At 37.7% G+C, this 22059-nt stretch overlaps 1 long non-coding RNA gene across 1 annotated transcript in view, besides 1 other annotated feature; it reads left to right on the forward strand.

Annotated features, from left to right (window-relative positions):
• Positions 1-22059, forward strand: part of LOC105372932 (uncharacterized) — a 166214-nt gene that overhangs the window by 120050 nt on the left and 24105 nt on the right. The window lies entirely within an intron of this gene.
• Positions 15651-16850: an enhancer, noted in NCBI's record as "P300/CBP strongly-dependent group 1 enhancer chr1:221613046-221614245 (GRCh37/hg19 assembly coordinates)". NCBI's record gives its function as "activates an origin of replication core promoter dependent on BRD2, BRD4, P300/CBP, MED14 and CDK7 cofactors, with strong dependence on P300/CBP, by STARR-seq in HCT116 cells {active_cell/tissue: HCT116}" and the evidence as "EXISTENCE:reporter gene assay evidence [ECO:0000049][PMID:35650434]".

Here is a 22059-nt window from a genome sequence, read left to right on the forward strand (position 1 = left end):
GTCAATCATAAAAAATCTATTAATGTGATTAATGACATGGACAAATCAAACCAAAAAAATCATATGATTGCTTCAATGTATGCAGAAGAAGCATGCAATATACTCAACATTCGTTCTTTATATTTAAAAATTCCTTAATAAACTCAGGTAAGAGGAGGATACTTCAACCTGAAAGAAAAGGCACTACAACAACATTTTAAAATCACTATTCTAAATAGTAAAACTCAAAATGTTTCTGTTAAAATTAGAAGCATTACACATCTTCCTGCTATCAAAATTTCATTTAACATTATATTAGAGGTTCTGTTGAATCTATTTTTTGGTTCATTAATCAAAAATCTATTTTTAGAAGAAAAAAATCTTATTATTTTCAGATGATATAATCCACATAGAAATTCAAGAGGAATTTGCAGACACTTACTTTTAGACTTAGAGAAATTTATGCAGATTGTCTATAAGTATAAGCTACAACTAGAAGATATAATGATGAGACATCACTTACCGTATCAATTAAAATATAAAACATCCACAAAGATAAAAAGGTAAAACCTTTATGAAACTTTGATTGACTTTGCATACCCAATTGAACCAAGATATAAACCATGTACATGGTTAATAAGACTTAAGTTACAACTATGTCAATTCTCCACAAATTTAATAGATTGATTTTATGTTATTCCTATCAATACCCCAACAGGGCTTTCCATAGAACTTGACAAACTGATCTTAAAACTTTTATATGAAAAAGCAAAAGGACAAGAATAGTCAAAAGGCCCCTGGGATTTTGTTTGTTGGGAGGTTTTTAATTACTGAGTCAATCTCTTCATTTCTTATTTGTCTTTTCACCTTTTCTATTTCTCCATGAATAAGTTTTTGTAGTGTACTAGTCCATTTTCACACTGCTGACGAAGACATGCATGAGACTAATTTTTAGAGAAAAAGAGGTTTAATGGACTCACAATTCCACCTGGCTGGGGAGGCCTCACAATCATGGTGGAAGGTGGAAGGTACGTCTTACATAGTGACAGACAAGAGATAATGAGAGCTTGTGCAGGGAAGCTTCTCTTTATAAAACCATCAGATCTCATGAGACTTATTCACTATCATGAGAATAGCACAGGAAAGACCCGCCCACATTATTCAATTACCTCCCACTGGGTCCCTCCCACAACATGTGGGAATTATGGGAGCTACAATCCAAGATGAGATTTGGGTGGGGACACAGCCAAATCATATCATTCCACCCCTGGCCCCTCTCAAACCTCACGTCCTCACATTTCAAAATGAATCTTGCCTTCCCAACACTCCCCCAAAGTCTTAACTCATTTCAGCATTAACTTAAAAGTCATCAGTCCAAAGTCTCATCTAAAACACGGCACGTCCCTTCCACCTATGAGCCAGTAAAATCAAAAGCAAGTCAGTTACTTTCTAGATAAAATGGGGTTACAGGCATTGGGTAAATGCAGCCATTCCAAATGGGAGAAACTGGCCAAAATTAAGGCTAAAGGCCCCATGCAAGTCCAAAATTCAGCAGGGGAGTCAAATCTTAAAGCTCCAAAATGATCTCCTTTGATTCCATGTCTCACATCCAGGTCACGTTGATGCAAGAGGTGAGTTCCCATGGTCTTGAGCAGCTCTTTCCCTGTTGCAGGGTACAGTCTCTTTCCAGGCTGCTTTCATAGACTGGCATTGAGTGTCTGCAGCTTTTCCAGGTGCATGGTCCAAGCAGTCAGTGCATCTACCATTCTGGGGTCTGGAGGATGGTCGCCCTCTCCTCCTAGCTCCACTAGGCAGCACCCCAGTGGGGGAGTCTGTTTGGGGGCTCCCACCTCACATTTCCCTTCCACACTGCCCTAGAAGAGGTTATCCATGAGTGCCCTGCCCCTGCAGCAAACTCCTGCCTGGACATCCAGGCATTTCCATACATCCTCTGAAATCTAAGCGGAGGTTTCCAAACCTTAATTCTTGACTTCTGTGCACCTGCAAGATCAATACCACGTGGAAGCTGCTAAGGCTTGGGGCTTGCACCCTCTGAATCCATGGCCTGAGCTATACCTTGGCCCCTTTTAGTCATGGCTAAAGCAGCTGGGATGTAGGGCACCAAGTCCCTAGACTGCACACAGCAGAGGGACCCTGGGCCCAGCCCACAAAACCATTTTTCTTCCTCCTGGGCCTCCAGGCCTGTGATGGGAGGAGCTGCTGCAAAGGTCTTGGACATGCCCTGTAGACATTTTCTCCATTGTTTGTGGATTAACATTTGGCTCCTCGCTATTTATGCAAATTTCTGCAGCCAGCTTGAATTTCTCCTCAGAAAATGGGGTTTTCTTTTCTGTCACATTATCAGGCTTCAAATTTTCTGAACTTTTGTGCTCTGCTTCCCTTATAAAACCAAATGCCTTTAACAGCACCCAAGTCACCTCTTTAATGCTTTGCTGCTTAGAAATTTCTTCCACCAGATACCCTAAATCATCTCTCTGAAGTTCAAAGTTGGACAGGGGCAAAATGCTGCCAGTCTCTTTGGTAAAACATAACAAGAGTCACCTTTGCTCCAGTTCCCAATAAGTTTCTCATCTCCATCTGAGACTACCTCAGCATGAATTTCCTTGTCCATTATCATTATCAGCATTTTGGTCAAAGCCATTCAACAAGTCTCTAGGGACTTCCAAACTTTCCTACATTTTTCTGTCTTCTTCTGAGCCCTCCAAACTCTTCCAGCCTCTGCCTGTTACCCAGTCCCAAAGTCGCTTCCACATTTTGTGGTATCTTTTCAGCAATGCCGCACTCTATAGGTACCAGTTTACTCTATTAGTCCGTTTTCATGCTGCTGATAAAGACATACCCAAGATCAGGCAATTTACAAAAGAAAGAGGTTTAATGGACTTACAGTTCCATGTGGCTAGGGAGGCCTCACAATCATGGTGGAAGGTGAAAGGCACATCTCACATGGTGGCAGACAAGAGAAGAGATGGCTTGTGCAGGGAAACTTCCCTTTATAAAACCATCAGATCTCATCAGACTTATTCACTATTACAAGAATAGCATGGGAAAGACCTGCCCCCATGATTCAATTACCTCCCACCAGGTCCCTTTCATGACATGTGGGAATTGTGGGAGCTACAAGCCAGGATGAGATTTGGGTGGGGACACAGCCAAACCATACCAGAAAGGTTGGATATTTCTGGGAATTGATCCATTTCTTTTAGGTTATCCAATTTGTTGGCATGTAATTGTTCAGCCTCTTATAAATCTTTTTATCTCTGTGGTATTTGTTGTAATGTCTCCTCTTTCATTTCTGATTTTGTTTGAATCTTCTCTCTTATATTCTTATTTAGTCTATGTAAAAGTTTGTCAAATTAGTTTTTTTTTCAAAAAATTTTAGTTTCATTGATTTTTCTATTCTCAATTTTGTTTATCTCTGCTCTAATCTTTATTCTTTCCTCCCCTCTGCTAACTTTGGGCTTAGTTTGTTCTTTGTTTTCTAGTTTCTTGAGGTCTAGGGTAAAGCTGTTTATTTGATATATTTTCTCTTTTTTTTTTTGAGATGGAGTCTCGCTCTGTTGCTCAGCCTGGAGTGCAGTGGCGCAATCTCAGCTCACTCCAAGCTCTGCCTCCTGGGTTCACGCCATTCTCCTGCCTCAGCCTCCCGAGTAGCTGGGACTACAGGTGCCCGCCACCATGCCCAGCTAATTTTTTTTGTATTTTTAGTGGGTTTTCACCGTGTTAGCCAGGATGGTCTCGATCTCCTGACCTCGAGATCCACCTGCCTTGGCCTCCCAAAGTGCTGGGACTATAGGCATGAGCCACCATGCCCGGCCTGTTTTCTCTTTTTTAATGTAGGCATTTATTGCTATAAAATTTCCTGTTAGAACTACTTTTGCCACATCCTATATGGTTTGATATGTTGTGTTTTATTTTCATTTGTCTCTAGACATTTTCTAATTTCCCTTTTGATTTTTTTCTTTGATCCACTGCATATTTATGCATGTTATTTTTTACATATTTTTGAATTTTTCAGATCTCTTTCTGCTATTGATTTCTAGTTTCATTCTATCACAGTCAAAAAAATACTTATTTTAATCTTTTTAAATTTGTTAAGGCTTTTGCGACTTTATATGTGATTTATCCTGGAGGCTATTTCATTTGCAATTCAGAAGAATGTTTCTTCTGTTGCTGTTGAGTGAAATGTTCAGTATATGTCTATTAGGTCCAGTTGGGTTATAGTGCTGTTCAAGTTCTCTGTTTCCCTATTAATCTTCTGTCTGGATGTTCTCTCCATTATTGAAAGTAGAATATTAAATTTCTCTACTATTATTGTGTTGCTGTCTATTTCTCTCTCAGTTCTGTCAATGTGCGCTTTATTCATTTAGGTGTTCTGATGTTTGGTACATATATACTTATAATTGTTATGTTTCCTGGTGAACTGACTCTTTTGTCATTGTATTATATCCATGTTTTCTCTTGTGACACTTTTTGACTCAAAATCCATTTTGCCTAAAAAATTATGGCCACCATTGCTCGATTTTGCTTACCATTTTTATGAGATATATTTTCTTTTTATTTTTTCACTATTTTTAATCTAAACTGAGTCTCTTGCAGAGAGTATGTGACTATGTTTTTAAAAATTTTATCTATTTAGCCATTCTATGTTTTTTGTTTAGAGAGTTCAATTCATTTACATTTAATGTCATTATTGACAGGAACAGATTTACTATTGCCATTTAAAAATTATTTTCTATCTGTCCTATAGTTCTTTTGTTCCTACTTTTTTTCATTATCTTTATTTGTGTTTCATTGATTTTTGTAGTGATACACTTTGGTTCGTTTCTCATTTTCCTTTGTATACCTTCCATAGGTTTGTTTTTGTGGTTATCATGGGACTTACATAAAATAGCTTATAATTATAACAATGTGCCTTAAGCTGATGACAACATGAGTTCAGTTGCACACACAATTGCGTATTACTCCTCCTCTCCATACTTTGTTATTGATATACCAAATTGCATTTTTATTGTATCAATTAGCATATTTTTATAATTATAGTTATTTTTTATACTTTTGTCTTTTGACTTCTATACCAAAACTAAAAGTGATTTACACACAACTGTTATAGTATTATAGCATTTTGTATTTGTCTATATATTTACTTTTATCAGCAAGCTTCATACTTTCATATGCTTTGTCTTAATGTTTAGCATATTTTTTGTTCCAACTTGAAGGACTTCCTTTAGCATTTCTTATAAGTGAGGCCAAGTGGTGACAAATTTTCTTGCCTTTTATTTCTTTGAAAAAGTCATTATCTCTCTTTCATTTTTGACAAGTAATTTTGCTGAATATGACATTCTTAATTGGCGTTTAGTTGTCATTTTAGTACTTTGAATATATCATCCCACTTTGTTCTGGCCTGCAAAGTTCCTGCTAAGAAATCTGCTGATAGTCATATATTGCTCAATTGTATGTGATGAGTCACTCTTCTCTTGCTGCTTTCAAAATTATTTGTTTATTTTTGGCTTTTGACAATTTGGTTATAATATGTCTCAGTGCTGACTTCTTTGGATTCATCCTATTTGGGTTCCATTGGACTTCTTGAACCTGTTTGTCTATCTCCTGCACATATTTGGGACATGTTTGGCCATTATTTACTTAAGTAAGCTTTCTGTCCCTTTCTTCTTTTTTATGAAACTCTGATTACGAATATATATATTATACATTCGTAATATATAAATATATATGAGATATATATATATATATCTCTCTCAGGGAAACCATTCATAAGAATAATTTTCAAAGGAGACAGAGAAAAGGTTCCTCTCCATTTCATTCTAGCCAAAGTTAACCTAAGCATTTAGAAGTTTTGCTTCCAGGTTTGTACTGCTTTTATTTATTTCCCTATGTTTAATATATATATAGAGAGAGTATATACATTTATAGTGTGTGTGTATGTGTGTTTTGATAGTGTTCCCATAAGGCCCTTAGACTTTCTTCAGTCTTTTCCATTATTCTCTTTTCTTTTTGCTCTTCTTACTGGGTAATTTCAAATGTCTTCTAGTTCACTGATTTTTTATTCTGCTTAATCAAGCTTGCTGTTAAACACTGTTAACTGAAAAATCACAAAATTTATAAATTTAGAAAGGAGAGGAGACTTCATTTCTTGTGAAAGTTACAGCCTTCAAGGTCACTATCCACAGCTGGGAAGCATAGCACCTGGCAAATAACGGAGAAAGGCACTTTGAAGGAGCGGGGATTAGGGTAGGAGCCTTATGCTGAGTGCGTTGACTAACATACATATTCAACAGGTTACAGGAGGAGCTACAAATATTCAAGCAGGTGATTCTGACTCAACATCTCATTGCATTACAATTAGGGCTTATATTTCAAAAAGCGAAGAGGGACATGAAGGCACTTAAGTGCATAACCTCTAAACTGGCTAGAACAGGTCCACAGTTGGTAATCTTATCAGACAAATTAGTTTCTTGTCTAATTAAAGCTGTAGTTATGTATGACTTGTAGAACAGAGTGGTCAGTTAGTCAGTGGCTGGTGGTAGAAGAGCTGAAAGTTTTTTTTGAGATACTGCTTATCTCAAGACCAGTGTTTGTTTAGCTGCTAAAGAAAAAGAAAAATCTTGTGGCAGTTAGAACATAGTTTATTTTTTAAGTGTAGGGGATGCATGACTTAACTCTTGCCTGGCATGGCCTTGGGTCCTGTTTATAATTTGACATTTCATTGCCACAAAGAGTTTGTTTTGTCAGTCTTAGATCTCTATTTTAACATTAATGCTGGTCAGTCATTGTGTCTAAACTGCAAAAGAGAGGGTGTATAATAAGGCATGTCTGACCTCCTGTCCCATCATGGCTGGGAACTCAGTTTTTAAGATTTCTCTATAGTTTTTTTGGCCAAAATGGGGTCCATTCAGTTAGTGTGGGGTGGGGGCTTAGGATTCTAATTTTAGTTTACAATATTAGTTATTTTTTTCAGTTCATTTACAACATTCTTCAGCTCCAACACTTATTCTATTGTTTTTGTTTGTATCTTTTTGTTGAAATTCTTATTTTGCTCAGTCATTGTTTGTATGAGCTCATTGAGTATCTTTTAAAGTTTATTTTGAATTCTTTGTTGGGTAATTCATACACTTATTTATTTAGGGTTGATTTCTGGAGATTTGTTTATTTTTTTTTTTATTGGAGCATTTCTCCCTGTTTCTTCCTGCTTTTTTAAACTTTGCGCTGGTACTTACACATTTGAAAAAACAACCACCTCTCCCAATTTGTACACACTGGATTTGTACAGGGAATGATATCATCATTAAGATTGGCTGGGGATTCTGGAGCCCTCTCAAATCTTTTCTGTGATGTGTCTTCTTTGGACTTTTGCATGTAGATTCTTAATTATAGAGATTTGCTTGTTTCTTTTTTTAGGAGCTCATAATCTCTGGCTCCCTCTGATGTCTGTCTGCTGTACCATGGGTCCTCTAAAACAGCAGCATGCTCCCAGCTCGTTCTTGTTCTCAGCTTCCCCCAAAGAGCTAGAGTATGCTTGTTCCATCAGCACCCCAAGTTGAGTTAGACAAAAACCAGTTGCTGATGAAAAGTCAGAAAGCTTGATATATATTCCACTCTTCTCTTTCTCCCCTGAGAGGCCACTTCAGCCCTATATGCTCTACTGTAAGCCCTCTGAAGCAGCAATAAGCTTCCCATCTCTATTTTGTTCTCAGTGGCTCCCAGAAATCTAGAGTATGCTGGCTCCAATCAGTGCTCTGAGACAGGTGAAACAGAAGCCAGTCCCTCAGGTACCTCCCAAAAAGTCAGAACATTGGACATACAGCTGAAACTTCTTTTTTCCTCCTTAGGGAGAGGCTGGGAGCTAGGAGTTTCTTCCCAAATGTGTGGTGCTGTGACAAGGGGAGAGATTATGGTATTAAGGTGCCATAAATTTTTCTAATGGCTTTGATATGGCTGATTTCTGCATTCACTTGGGGTGCAGAAGCCTCTTAACTGGTTTCTACTTTATCATAAAGGGAATTGGTCTATATATTGTTGAATCAGTGTTTCCACTGGAGGAAAGAAGTGTCTGGGGCTTCATACTCTACCATCTGGATAATGTCAGTCTCAAAGTGTGCTTTTAAGGTCATGGCAACAAAGTGAGGTAAGGCATTAATACCAAGATCCCTAGTATGGAGCAAACCCAGGACAGAGAGATTGGTCCTGGTGATGTCATTTGGTCATTGAATTAAGCTATGCCTGAAGTCTACACATGCATTTATGCAAACCAATTAGTTCTCTTTTTGTTTAAGCTATTTGGCCTAGGTGCTCAGTTACTTAGAATTTGAAGAGTCCTCAGTGATAAAGTTGTGATGTAGGATTTTTTTCTTTTTAACTGTATTCTGTAAATGTAGTTATTACATAATGAGTTCTTTGCTCCTTGTAATGCTATCAAGAATTATCGTAACCTAGTTTTAATTTACTATTTCTGTCCTCATCTCTTGCTACTTTTGTTCCATGCACATATGCTCCAGCTACATTATTCTACGCTTTGTCTGCAAGCATATAATTACATGCTGTATGATTTTTCATGGTATTCTTTATTTTTTCCTAAAATGCCTTCTACCACCTCATGGCTATCAAAAAACTAGTTAAACACTATGGACAAGCTTAAATATCCACTTATGGGTGATTGTCAGGATCAACCCTCTGAACTGCTGAAATTGTGTTCACATTATTATAATTCAATAATTCGATATTTTTAATGAGTTGAGGGACCCATTTGCTATCACATTAGATAAGGAGCCCCTTGATGGTAAGACCCATATCTGTTAATTTACATGCCCATTATTGAATGCTGGCTGACATTCAATAAATATTTAGTGAATTAATAAACAAATGACCACCTTAAGTGGAAAATAGCAAGATGAATGTAAAGGTTTATAGTCAGCAAACTAGTCAGAGCTCAGCAAATAAATGAAAGAATACAAAGAACTTCCTTGACCTTGAAGTTATCTTTCAGACTTTAAAGGGGCCCTTTCCACTTAAGCAGGCTTGTTATTTTCACAGTTTTATGAAGCAATATGAACCTGTTGGATTTCTTTTCAAAGCATAGTAACTAGACCAGTATTGACATCCTTAAAAAAAAAAACAAATTTTTCTCCACCATTTTATCTTGCCTAATGAAAAACCCATTCATTTAGCCTTTTGGCAATTGTTATAACATGCACTCTGGGATTTTTAAGAATAGTTTTCAAAGGAAACAGAGAGGTGGTTCCTCTCCATTTCATTCTAGCCACAGTTAACCTAAGCATTTAGAAGTTTTCCTTCCAGATTTCTACTGCTTTTATTTCTTTTCCTATGTTCATTCATCACCATAGATGCTATGGTAGGAGAGAAAGCGGTTTCAGTTGCAGAACTTGCTTCCTGTTAATACTTCCATTACAGAACATTTTGGAAACAGATGCAATGACTTAAATATAATAATAAAAGTAAAATAATTATATCCAGACAACTAAAGCCAAGTGAAAATAATTTTGCAAAGTGAATTTTTATTTTCCTCTTCATATAATAGATACATTGATATCAGTCCTTACCTCTCTGCTCACATCCATTAGTTTAATAAATAATATTGGAGATATAATTTGCATGGTAATTTTATGTAAACATGTAGATCACTATGTTTCACCTCCATTGCAAAAACATGACTTATTATTTCATGTATTGTAGTGACGATGCTCTCTAAACATAACAATTTTATATTGAAAGCACATTACATGACATAAAACAGAAATTTGTTTTATTTCACAAATGCCTGCAGCGTAACATATTTCCACGTTATTCAATAGGATCCAGAAGTGTATTTAGGAGATGGCTCACAAAATTCTTTTCACTGGCTTAATAGCTTTTTGAGAGAGGAGACTGGTTCCTAATCATTTTTATTCTATTCACAGCATGAAGTTCACAGTGAGTAATAAAAAGTTTGATCAAATTAATGAACAAATGAACGTATTGTAAAAAATAGTGTTAAAAACACAAAATTGCCAGGCGTGGTGGCTCACGCCTGTAATCCCAGCACTTTGGGAGGCCAAGGCGGGCAAATCACGAGGTCAGAGATCGAGACCATCCTATCCTGGCTAACATGGTGAAACCCCGTCTCTACTAAAAATACAAAAATTAGCTGGGCATGGTGGCGGACGCCTGTAGTCCCAGCTACTCGGGAGGCTGAGGCAGGAGGATGGCGTGAACCCGGGAGGTGGAGCTTGCAGTGAGCCAAGATCGCGCCACTGCACTCCAGCCTGGGCGACAGAGCAAGACTCTGTCTCAAAAAAAAAAAAAAAAAAAAAAGAAAAAAGAAAAGAAAAAACAAAAAACACAAAATTTGGGAACAAACTGAGCTTTAGTAAGCATTGTCTATAAATATTTGAGGGAACAGAAATGAGAAGCCAACATTGGTGAGAGCACCACCCAATAAAGAGCTTGATAGATATAGTCACCGGAGAAACTTATTTTAATGTTTCAAAGGTATCAAAACAATAAATGAAACCAAATAAAACTTAAAAATAACAACCAAAAGGAAAGTCTTCAGTCTCCACGCAGTGCTTTGATGTAATATATTTATGTTTTCTTCCTCCTCAGGCCTCACTAAAATAGTTGCATAGGATGGTACAGTTCTTTCTCTTAAAGTACTTCTGTACTAGGTAATTTTTTTAAGTCTCTTCTATATATAATTTATTTAAAGATATAAAGGGCCTCTAGGGCTCTCAGGGACCTCCATGTTTTGGCAAGGAAGAGAATGAAAACAGAAGGTTCCTAAAATTATGGAAACTATTTTTTGGGTAACTTAAAGCAAAACAAAACAAATGAACAACAAACAAAAGTAGAGAGATATAAAAGATATCCCTGAAACTGTTTAATCTGGTGACCTTTCTTTACAGACCAAAAGAGCACTTCTTTTCTAAGATTGACATAAATGCATAAATTGTGCATCCTAAACCTTACTGGAGTTATCTAATTCTACTATAATGTCACTTCCAATTATGGGACAAAAAAAGTCAAATCTTATTCTTGCACTTCCTGGTAGAGATATTTTTCACCTGTATCAGGGCCTAGAATTGAAACTGGAAAATAAGCTACAATAGAAACTGAACTATGAAATTGAACTACAGAGTACAGAAGCCAGCTCAGAATACAATTCGTCTGTTTTTACCAAAAACCATGTTCCTGGGAACATACACCTGTTTGCATGCTAAGAATCTTGAAATTTAAAAAAAAAGCATGATAAAATTTAGGAAGAGGACAATTTTTTTTTCACCATTCCCCAAATCTATTGGCCATTTACTCCCCCAATTAGTTTTTCCAAACAACTTTAGAAGATCAACACAAGGTTCAATTGATTATCCTACTTAGATAAGGAATTGTAAATTATTAAGTTTGGCTTTGAGACTTCACTTTACATTTGCACATTTATACTTACATATATACCCATATCTAAAAAATTGCTTTCATTTTTAAAATAATCCCACAGTCAAGTAGTACACCATCATCCAAGCAAGACTGCTTGTGTGAAGATAGACACCTGGTGGTCAATATGTAGAACTGCAGCTCAGGAAAGACCTAGATTTCTTTGAGGTTGTCTCTTGTTTTTTCCCCATTTCCCACTGCTTTCTGGGTACAGATTGCTGTTGATGGTGGACATACTGCAGCTGTGTGTGAGTGAGTCTCAAGTTCAAGTCAAGAGATTTCCAGAACAGTTACATCAACTCCATGAAAGCTTCAGGTCACAAGTTTTCTGAATTATTTGGAGAGCCAACCAATGTAGCATGCTAAGAATTTTTAAAAGTTACTAAAATCTCTTAAGCAAGAAGTTGAACAGGAGCCTCAGTGTTTGGGAGTAAGGGTTAATCTCCACCTACAAATTTCTGCATTTCCTCTGTCAGGATAATAAGCTTCTGTTTCCTTTGGGGAAGAAAAAAGAAGTGTCGATTCCTTTGTCACCACAAAAGCAAGCATTTTGAGCTTTTAAATATGGCCCTGCCCCTGAACCGACCCTGCCTCGTGTCTAAGTGCTTTTCTCCAAATTGAACCTCACAAGACAAAAATACATAACTTAAAGAAATGGCAAGCTAAAATCTCTCTATTTTTTTGTTACTCCTGGCTATTAATTTTATTCTCTTCAATTTTTAAGTCTTGAGATAAGCTTCTGGAAGCAGATACAGAATAGTTTCTAACTTTCTCAGAGTACACTTGGTTTTAGACAGGGAGTGGAATCATAGCATGGGTTCTCACTCTACTTGCATCGGTAAAGGAGGAGGAAAGACATGCATCAGAAGGACAAATGTGTGAGTTGGCTCTATGTCTGATGAAGTGACACACTACAGTGCCGGAGATGCCCTGATTTCCCATTAAGCTACTACAGAGAAAGGCATAGCTTAGTCGCATGGGCTGAATTCCTTATGGTACAATTATAGGCACAGTCACACCTGAAATGACCAGACATCGTGGTCAGAATGCCCTTTGCTTAACTTCTATTGGGCCTTTGCTCTGTGCCAGCCACTGTGCACAGGCTGCCCCAAATCATGCCACAAGCCCTGTCTTTCTTCTTGTTTCCAGTTGGCCCAGATGGACACACAGCATCCCAGTCCTGGCAAGCAGAGGGCTGGGGTGTCCTTGCTTGGGTCTAACCCTGGCCTCCCATCCTGTTTCTAACCGATGTGTGTACTCATATACATACATCATCATGTGAAAGTCAAGGCCTTCTCCAATATTTAGAGGCTGACTGGTCAGTAGTTTTATCACCAGAAAGAAGAATGGGAAAAGATATCAAGAAACCTCCTTTGTCATGAGAGAAACATATTAATTTGGATTGAATAATGTAGTAAATATAGTGACCCCTCTTTCCATCCTCAGTCAAATTAATGTGAACTTCTGGCCAGGTTTGGGGACACTGGAAGAAGACTTCCTCGTTGCGACTATGAGAACTATCATATCACAAGAACCATTTAAATGTCAGATGCACAATCCTCTTTCTGAAACCCTTGTGAACAAATCCACTATTCAGAATTCAGAATTTTCAGACGGTAGATATGTAACACAGTCTATACATTGAATATTGTGGAATACTCTGATCAGGGACTGGAGTAGGACCCCTAATTCAACACATGAAGAGTTCTATTACTGAATGTGTGGTGGTCACATCAGTAGGGATAAAATAAACAAAAGTAGTCTCGCATTGGTTCAGATCAGGCATTATCATCATATGATTCTAGCACACATGAAAAAACACTTGCTTATCAGACTATTTTTGAATATTTGATGGTGGATAGCAGACTGCGGTTCTGCCTGTGTGTGATGCAAGAGACATTCCCAGGCATGCAGCCCTGTCCAGAAGGCTCCTACAACTCTCCAAAATCAATAGGGCAAACTACACCACCAAGAAGGAAATCTATTATCAAGTAGCCCATTTTCTTTGTTCATCAAAAGGCAATGTATTCATCATAAAACTGTAAAACTTTTAGAAGAAAACATAGAAAAATATCTTCATTATCTGGGATTAGGAAAGGAATTTTAAATGATGCAAAAGCATGATACAAAAAAGAAAAAATGAAATTTTATCAAAATCAAAAACTTTTGCTCTGCTAAATCACTTCCAAGAGAATAAAAAGACAAGCCACAGACTAAAAGAAAATATTTTCAAATCTCCTATCTAACAGAGAACTTTATATCCAGATTACATAACAAACTCTCAAAACTCAACAATAAGAAATCAAATAACCCAATTAAAAATGAACAAAGAGATTGAACAGATGCTTCACCAAAGAAGACACAGGAGACTCCCCCACCATCGCCTCCTTAACCACAGGGGATACATTTCAAGACCCCCAGTGGATGCTTGAAACTGTGGATCGTACTGAACCCTAAATAACTACTCATAATAAAACAATTATAATAATTTACTATAATAAAAGTTATGTGAATGTGGTCTCTCCCTCATCTCATACTGCACTCACTCTTCTTCTTGTGATGATGTGAGATGATAAAATGACTATGCGATGGATGTGGTGACAGTAATCTGATAAGTGAGATGCCTACTCAGTGACTAACAGGCAAGTAGCCTATACAGCATGAATACACTGGACAGAGGGGATTCATGTCCCACGGAGCAGGGCTGCGCAAGATTTCATCACACTGCTCAGAACAGTGTGCAGTTTAAAACTTACGAATTGTTTGTTTCTGGAATTTTCTATTTAATATTTTCAGGACACAGTTGACTGCTGGTAACTGAAACTGCAAAAAGAAAAACCTTGGATAAGAGGGGACTGCTGTATAAAGTACGAGAAAAGATGTTTAATACCACAAGCCATTAAGGTAATGTGAATTTAAACAACAGTGAGCTACAACCACACACCTATCAGAATGTCCAAAATAAGGGCAGGCGTGGTGGCTCACACCTGTAATCCCAGCACTTTGGGAGGCCGAGGCAGGTGGATCAGCTGATGTCAGGAGTTCAAAACCAGCCTGGCCAAGAAGGTGAAACCCTATCTCTACTAAAAATAGAAAAAGAAAAAAAAATAGCTGGGCGTGGTGGCGCACGCCTGTAATCCCAGCTACTCTGGAGGCTAAGGCAGGAGAATTGCTTGAACGCGGGAGGCAGAGGTTGCAGTGAGCCAAGATCGCACCACTGCACTCCAGCCTGGGCAACAGAGAGACTCCGTCAAAAAAAAAGAATGTCCAAAATAAATACTGACAACACAGAGTGTTGACAAGGATGCTGAGTAAGTAGAATTCACATACATGATGGCTGGAATTGGAAAATGCTACAGCAACTCTGGATAATAGCTTGGCAGTTTCCTTATAAAGTGAAACATACATCTACGCTATAACTCCACAAGGCCGATCCTGAGTATTTACCCCAGGAAAATGAAAATGTATGTTCACATGAAACTGATAAACAAAACTTCAGAGTAGCTTTTTTTTTTTTTTTTTTTTTTTTTTTACACAGTAGCTTCAAACTGAAAATAACTTGAATGTCCCTCAATGAGTGAAAGGGTAAATAAACTGTGATACCACATATGATGGAACACTATTCAGTCATAAAAAAGAACAACTTAGATAACTCTGTGCTGAGTAAGAGATGCCAGTTTCAAAAGACAAAAGCACAATGGTGGAGAAGAGATTAGTGATTGCCAGGGATTATGGTGGAGGGAGGGGTGAATATAAAGGGACAGCATGGGGAAGCTTTGGGGGGTTATGGCACTGTTTCGTATCCTCTTTGTGGTGGTTACACAAATCTATACATATGTGGAAATCCATAGAGCTGTACATCAAAGAAAAAAGTCAACTTTACTATAGGATAATTTGGAAAATAATTTTTTTAAAGGCCAATGCATTCCTATTTGACTTTTCTATTCACAGTTTGTTGTCAATCTCTTCTTTACTGAACTGATGACATCCTGTTTTCACTAACACTGCTTGCCTGGCGGGGAGATATGAGGCATGTGTGAGGCATTGCAGATACAAAGATGAGTCAGGCAGAGGCTCATGCACAGGGCTCACCACCTGGGCAAGGAAATGAGACAGGGAAGTGAAGAGACGTCAACAATTTATGCTACAGAAATTCAAGGGGTGAGAAATCCCTGATCACTATGGGAAGTGTAAGCACAAAGCGTGTTTTCTTAACTCAACCAAGAAGGAATAATTGGTTCTGTTTACTGTTTCCTTACCAAATATATTTTTTGGTAATTTTGAAGACTCCCTTGCTTTGACCAAAAAATATTAAATTTAAAAATCTCATTAGTTGATAGGAACAGTGCCTGCTGGGTTGTAAATTTATTGAAACATGGCCTGTCCTAACCAGCACTCTGACACATAGAAGTCCCGTCACTCATTATATAAATCCATTTATTAAATAAATGGATGAAAGATAACATCATGAGCACAATATTTGAATCATTGCTAGTCATTGCGGTATTATTTTGTATTTAGTTGTCATATTCATCAGTATAGCTTCTGTCATAGTCATTTGGAGATGAAACATATTTTAATTAATATGTGCCCACTTCATTCTGAGGCTCTGTAGGTGGCACTCCCCAGGGGAAAGTCCCTAAAAGTGAGTCACCGTGATTATTCATGTCCTGTGGCATCAGTCTTTGAAACCAATATCTACAGGAAATAAATACCAGGAATGTGAATGCAGATGCCTTGAGAAGACCACTAATCCTGCTATGATAAGTAACTGGGCAGTTATTCAAGTGGGGTGTTTTTAGTGCCATGGAAACAGACAGAGTCGGTGTTTTCCAAGGGAAAGTGTTTTAAATCCAGAGTCCTGCCTAATCTGGATATAAATATGCTGACTGTTATGAATCTAGCTTCCTAAACCAAGCCCTACCTTAATTTCCTCATATGTGAGGTAAAGGTCACCCACCACAGTCTGGTGTGAATTCATGGCAATTAAGGTTCTTACTTAGAAGAAGTCATTATTTTTATTCCCATCTGGGCAGAAGTCAAGTTCAAAGTCAGAGTTGTATCAGGGTTCAGCTTCTGTGATCAGTCAGACCATTTATGTTTAGAAGTGAGTTTTCTAAAGTAAGTGCTAAGTATTTTAGGCAAAGAAACCCAGCTGTGAAAATACTGCTAACATTTGTACAGTTGTTTTATATGTGGATTTATTTTTACTTGCACTTACTTTAGTGCGATTCTTTGCAGAGAAGTTCCTCTTCCCCTCCTCTCCTTCCCCGTCACTGCCTCTGGCTGCCTCTCGTGGGTCATTTGAGAAATGACAGTCTCTCTCTAATCCTTATGGGTCACAAGTGTTCTGCATCATGGCACACCCTTGACTAATTAGCATTAATAAGTGATGCTGGGAGAAAGAACCCTGGAGAAAAAGCAGAAGGCTTGTTTTTGCCAAATTGGAATTGACCCAGCTAGCAAAATTTTCCAGCGTACTTTCTTACTCTCTTGCCTCTTGTGTGTTCTTGCTGCCTAAACATACGTTTCTGACATGAGGTCTTGGACAGCCCATGAAATACACTGCCCTGCATACCTTTTGTTCCAGGGGGCATGGGGACTTTATTTATTTAATAAACTTTTCCTAAACTGTTTACTGTGTGCAGGCCATAAGGGATAATAAGACATCATTTCTGCCTCCTACCTTTTTATGTTGTTTTAGCACAGATATGGCAAAGATATATCTAACTATATATTAGTTATTGAGCACCTACTGTGTGAAAGGCATTGGGCTAGGTACAAATAGAAGAGCCTTGCAGAATAAACAGGACTTCAATAGGCAGGGAACCAAAATAGGACAGGCCAGGTAGGCTGCGCAGTAAAAGGAAAAGCTCAAAGGCAGGAAAGTAAAAGTCCAATTAGAGGGCTCTGCGTAGGGAATCCAAAGCAAAAGGGCTTAGTGGGAACTTCTGGGTCTATAACCAAAAGCAGGGTTTCAAAGAGATATTTACTTCATCCATGTTCATAGCAGCCATATTCATAATAGCCAAAACAAGGAAGCAACCCAAATGTCCATCAGTGGACGAAAGGATAAACAAAATAGCCTTAAAAAGGAAGAAAATCCTGCCATACACTACAACATGGATAAGCCTTGAGGACAGGATGCTAATGAAATGAGCTACTCATCAAAAGAAAATACTGCATGATTCCACTTACATGATATAGTTGAGAAATCACAGTCATAGAAACAGAATATAGAATGGTGTTTTTCAGGGGCTGTAGGGGAGGAGAGAAAGAGGAGTCATTGTTTAATGGGTATAGAATTTTAGTTTTACAGGACAAAAATTTATGGACATGGATGGGGTGATGGATGTGCATTATGAATGTATTTAGTAACACTAAACTGTACACTTAAAATGGTAAAAACTGTAAATTTTATGTGTATTTTACCACAATAAAAAATGGAAAAAAATGGGCATAGTGGAAAAACTCAGGGTTCAAATCCTACCTCTTTCCCTTATGCACTGGTTCTTCATATACAGACTAAAAATAACAATTGCACTTTTCAGGGTTGTTGTAGGTATTTAAGAAAATCCACTTAATACATGCAGGCGGAGGTTAAAGATAGTTTTTCGTATTAGTCAGTTTGACTATAGCAAACAATTTATGAAGGAGAACATGGAAAATGAGGTGGCAAAAGCAGTTTAGAGCCTCAAGTGAAATGCCTTGAATGCCTATCTATAAAATGGAGCTTTATTCTGTGAACAGTGAGGAACCATTGATGGTCAGTGAACAAAAGAGTGACATGGTCATGGAACTGTTTTCAGAACAATGAGGAGCAGATTAGGAGCAGAGAGAGAAGGGACTCACCAAATAGCTGGCAATTGCTGCAGTGGTTCTGCTGAGAAAGTGGAAAGGAAAAGGTTTATTTGAAGTGACGGTACTTTGCTATGGGAACATTTTTATTCTACTTTAAATAAAATTCAAAGTTATATCAAGAAAACTTCAGGTAAAATGTAAGTTAATGTTTTCCATGCTTGATCAATTCCCAATTTTTTAATCAAACACTACATGTTTGGTGACAAAACATAAATGTGATGTGGCATCCTTCCATCAGCACACACTTTGTGTGTTAACAAACAGCAAGACGCTGATTTCATAAATCCCAGACCAGACAGCACCTCAGGTTCTGGGAACCTTCTGCCTCTAAGAGACCACCCAGCTTTCAAGGGTCCACACAGATCTAAGTGAAAAGCTATAGGAATAACCATTTTGGAACCAGGTTACCTCAAAGACTTTCAGATGTTTATTTGGACATTTAGGCACATTTGGAAGAGAGCAACATAATGTCCCCAAAGAGGAAATCATTGAATAAAGGCGTGTGTTAAAAAGAATTGTGCAGCCATTAAAATAGTGTGTTTATGAAACAATGCTCATGGTATATTAAATAAACTAACCTAGGAAAAAATGTTCATTAGGTTATCATTTCTGTTACAAAGTTAAACATATATGAACATACTATTATGTGTATAGGTAAAGAACTGAAAGAACACACATTACATTTTTTTTTTTTTTTGAGATGCAGTCTCGCTCTGTCACCAAACTGAAGTGCAGTGGCACGATCTCGGCTCACTGTAACCTCCGCCTCCCGGGTTCAAGCGATTCTCCTGCCTCAGCCTCCCGAGTAGCTGGGACTACGGGCACGTGCCACTGCGGCCAGCTAATTTTTTTATTTTTGGTAGAGACGAGGTTTCACCATGTTGGCCAGGGTCTGGATCTCTTGACCTCGTGATCCACCTGCCTTTGCCTCCCAGAGTGCTGGGATCACAGGAGTGAACTACCGCTCTCAGCCCACATTATATTTTTAACAGCGGTAGTCTATGACTGAAGAAATTATGATGGTTTTAAATGAGAGATTACAAACTGACAGCTTAAGGTTGCGTTTGACTTCTGGACATTTTTGTTCACTTAACCTTTTCTGTTCTGTTACCCCTCTTTACACTATTCTCCAAGGACCTACTCACTTTGTGTATATTTTGATTACCTGCCTGAGCACTGTAGGTGTTCCTGGGTGAAGTTTTCACCTTTGCGCTTTTCTACAACAAGCAGGCTTTAATTTTATATAAGAAAAAGCAAAAGTTTTAATAATTAGCTTCAATTTGCAGTGTGCACATTAGAATTAAAAAAATTTCCTTTAAAAAAATTAGATAAATCATTGCAGTCTGGCCTGGGTGAAAGAGCGAGACTCCGTCCCCCCCCAAAAAAAATTAGATCAGTCATTTCCCTTCTACTGCCCTTAGTCCTAGGGTACAAGAAATAACAGCACACTTCCCATCATCCCCATGGGAGACTCCTCAGCTGATAGGTCTCTGTATGACCAGCTCCACCTCAGCCCTTGTTTTTGAAGGCTCTAAACATTCTGATCTTAACACTTGGGGTGGAAAACCAGAGTAAAATATTTATCTATGCATGATGGTCAGTATTTAAAGTGGGAGAATAATAAAATTATTATTCAATACATGCAATTTTGGAAGGTGTAGAATCTTTAAAAATATGAATCGCTTGAGTGAGGAAAATCAAAGCAATTTTCGGTGGTGGTACATTTAATATTCATTTAATCCAAGAACTTCATTTTACAAATTGGGAAATTAATAACCAAAGACATAAATCAGGTAAGACTTGATTAATGAAATACTGAATAGAATACTAGGTAGATCTTATGCAGTGGTTACTGGGGACCAGGCCCTTATCCATGTGAGCTGCAGACTCATTCAATCCTCTCAGCAGCCGGCATGGTAGGTGTGACTTCTGCCATAGTGTTTGTTCTGTTTCCAAATATATTAACAGAGATGTACAGAAGCAGCAGTACAGACTTTAGAGCTGATGAAGAACTCATTGATCACCTTTCTCAATGTCCACTTTTATGAGTAAGGAAACAGAGGACGATGCATATTTGATGACTTGCCCAAAGTCACTAGCTTCTAAGACTAAAATTCCAGCATCCTGGCTGTTTTCCAGGTGTTCTTTCATCACATTATGTTCCCCTCATCTGTGAACTGAAAAATAAAATAGTTAAGACCGGGCACGGTGCCTCACGCCTGTCATCCTAGCACTTTGGGAGGCTGAAGCTGGCAGAGCACCAAAGGTCAGGAGATCGAGACCAACCTGGCCAACATGGTGAAACCCCATTTCTACTAAAAATACAAAAGTTATCCAGGTGTGATGGCGCATGCCTGTAGCCCCAGCTACTGTGGAGGCTGAGGCAGGAGAATTGCTTGAACCCAGGAGGCTGAGGTTTCAGTGAGCCCAAATAGCGCGACTGCACTCCAGACTAAGCGACAGAGCGAGACTCCATCTCAAATAAATAAATAAATAATAAAATAAAATATAATACAATAAATAAGTTAAATTACTAACATTTTTACTTAATAAAGTAGGATGATATGAAGGAACTTTTTATTAAGGAAGTCAAGAAAAGCTATTATTGAAAAAATGAAGAATATATTTTATAATTTTATAACAAGGACTCTGGCTAATAAAAATAAACAACCAGGTGTATTTTCATTCTATTCCTTGGAAAATATGAAGTACTCATTCTTACTCAAAAAAATAGATAACGTTAATAACCATACATCTATTACATAATTGAATGTAAAATTAAAAATCTTCCTCTAAGAAAACCCCAGACCCAGAATGCTTTCATTGGTGAATACAAGCGGTTGGCAAACTGACCTGTGGACCAAATGTGGCCCAACACGTTTTTCTACAACCAACAAACAAAGGAGAGTTTTTACAGTTTTAAATGGTTGGGAAGTAATTGAAAAAAAATAGTATTTCTTGACATCTGAAAGTTATGTCATTCAAATTTCAGTACCCATAAATGAAGTTTTGTAGAAACACAGCCATGCTTATTCATTTTTGTATTGTCATAGACAATACAATGGCAGCATTGAATAGTTGTGGCAGAGATGGTTTGGCCTGTAAAGCTTAAAATATATGCTATCTGATTTTTTTAAAAGAAGTTTTCTGATCCCTGAATTCTACCAATGAAGGAATAAGGAATACCAACTCCACACAATTCTTCTAGAAAACAGAAGAGAACACTTTTCAACTTCATTTTATGTAGCTACCAAAATATACACATGACATATACAGTCTTGTCCCTTGATATCCATGAGGGATTGGTTCCAGGACCCCCGTGGATAACAAAATCCAAGGACAGTCAAGTCTCTGACATAAAATGGCATAGCACTTGTATGTAACCTATGCACATCCTCCTGTATACTTTAAATCATGTCTATATTACTTATAATACCTAATACAATGTAACTGCTACTTAACTGTTATACTGTATTTCTATGTGTACTATTTTTTACTGTTTTATTGCTATTTTTCCAGATATATTTGATCCATGGTTTGTTGATTCTGCAGATGCGGAATCCTGAGATACAAAAAGCCAATCATACACTGGAAACTATAGATCATGGCAAAGAGAAATTAGAAGACCCAAACAAATGAGTCCTCATGAATTGAAGGACTCAATATTATCAAAATGTCTATTCTGCTCAAACTGATCTATAGATTCAATGCAATCACAATCAGAATCCCAGAAAGAGGTGTTTTTGCTTATTTGTTTGT

Source organism: Homo sapiens, chromosome 1 (genome assembly GCF_000001405.40).
Source record: "Homo sapiens chromosome 1, GRCh38.p14 Primary Assembly".
NCBI lineage: Eukaryota > Metazoa > Chordata > Mammalia > Primates > Hominidae > Homo > Homo sapiens.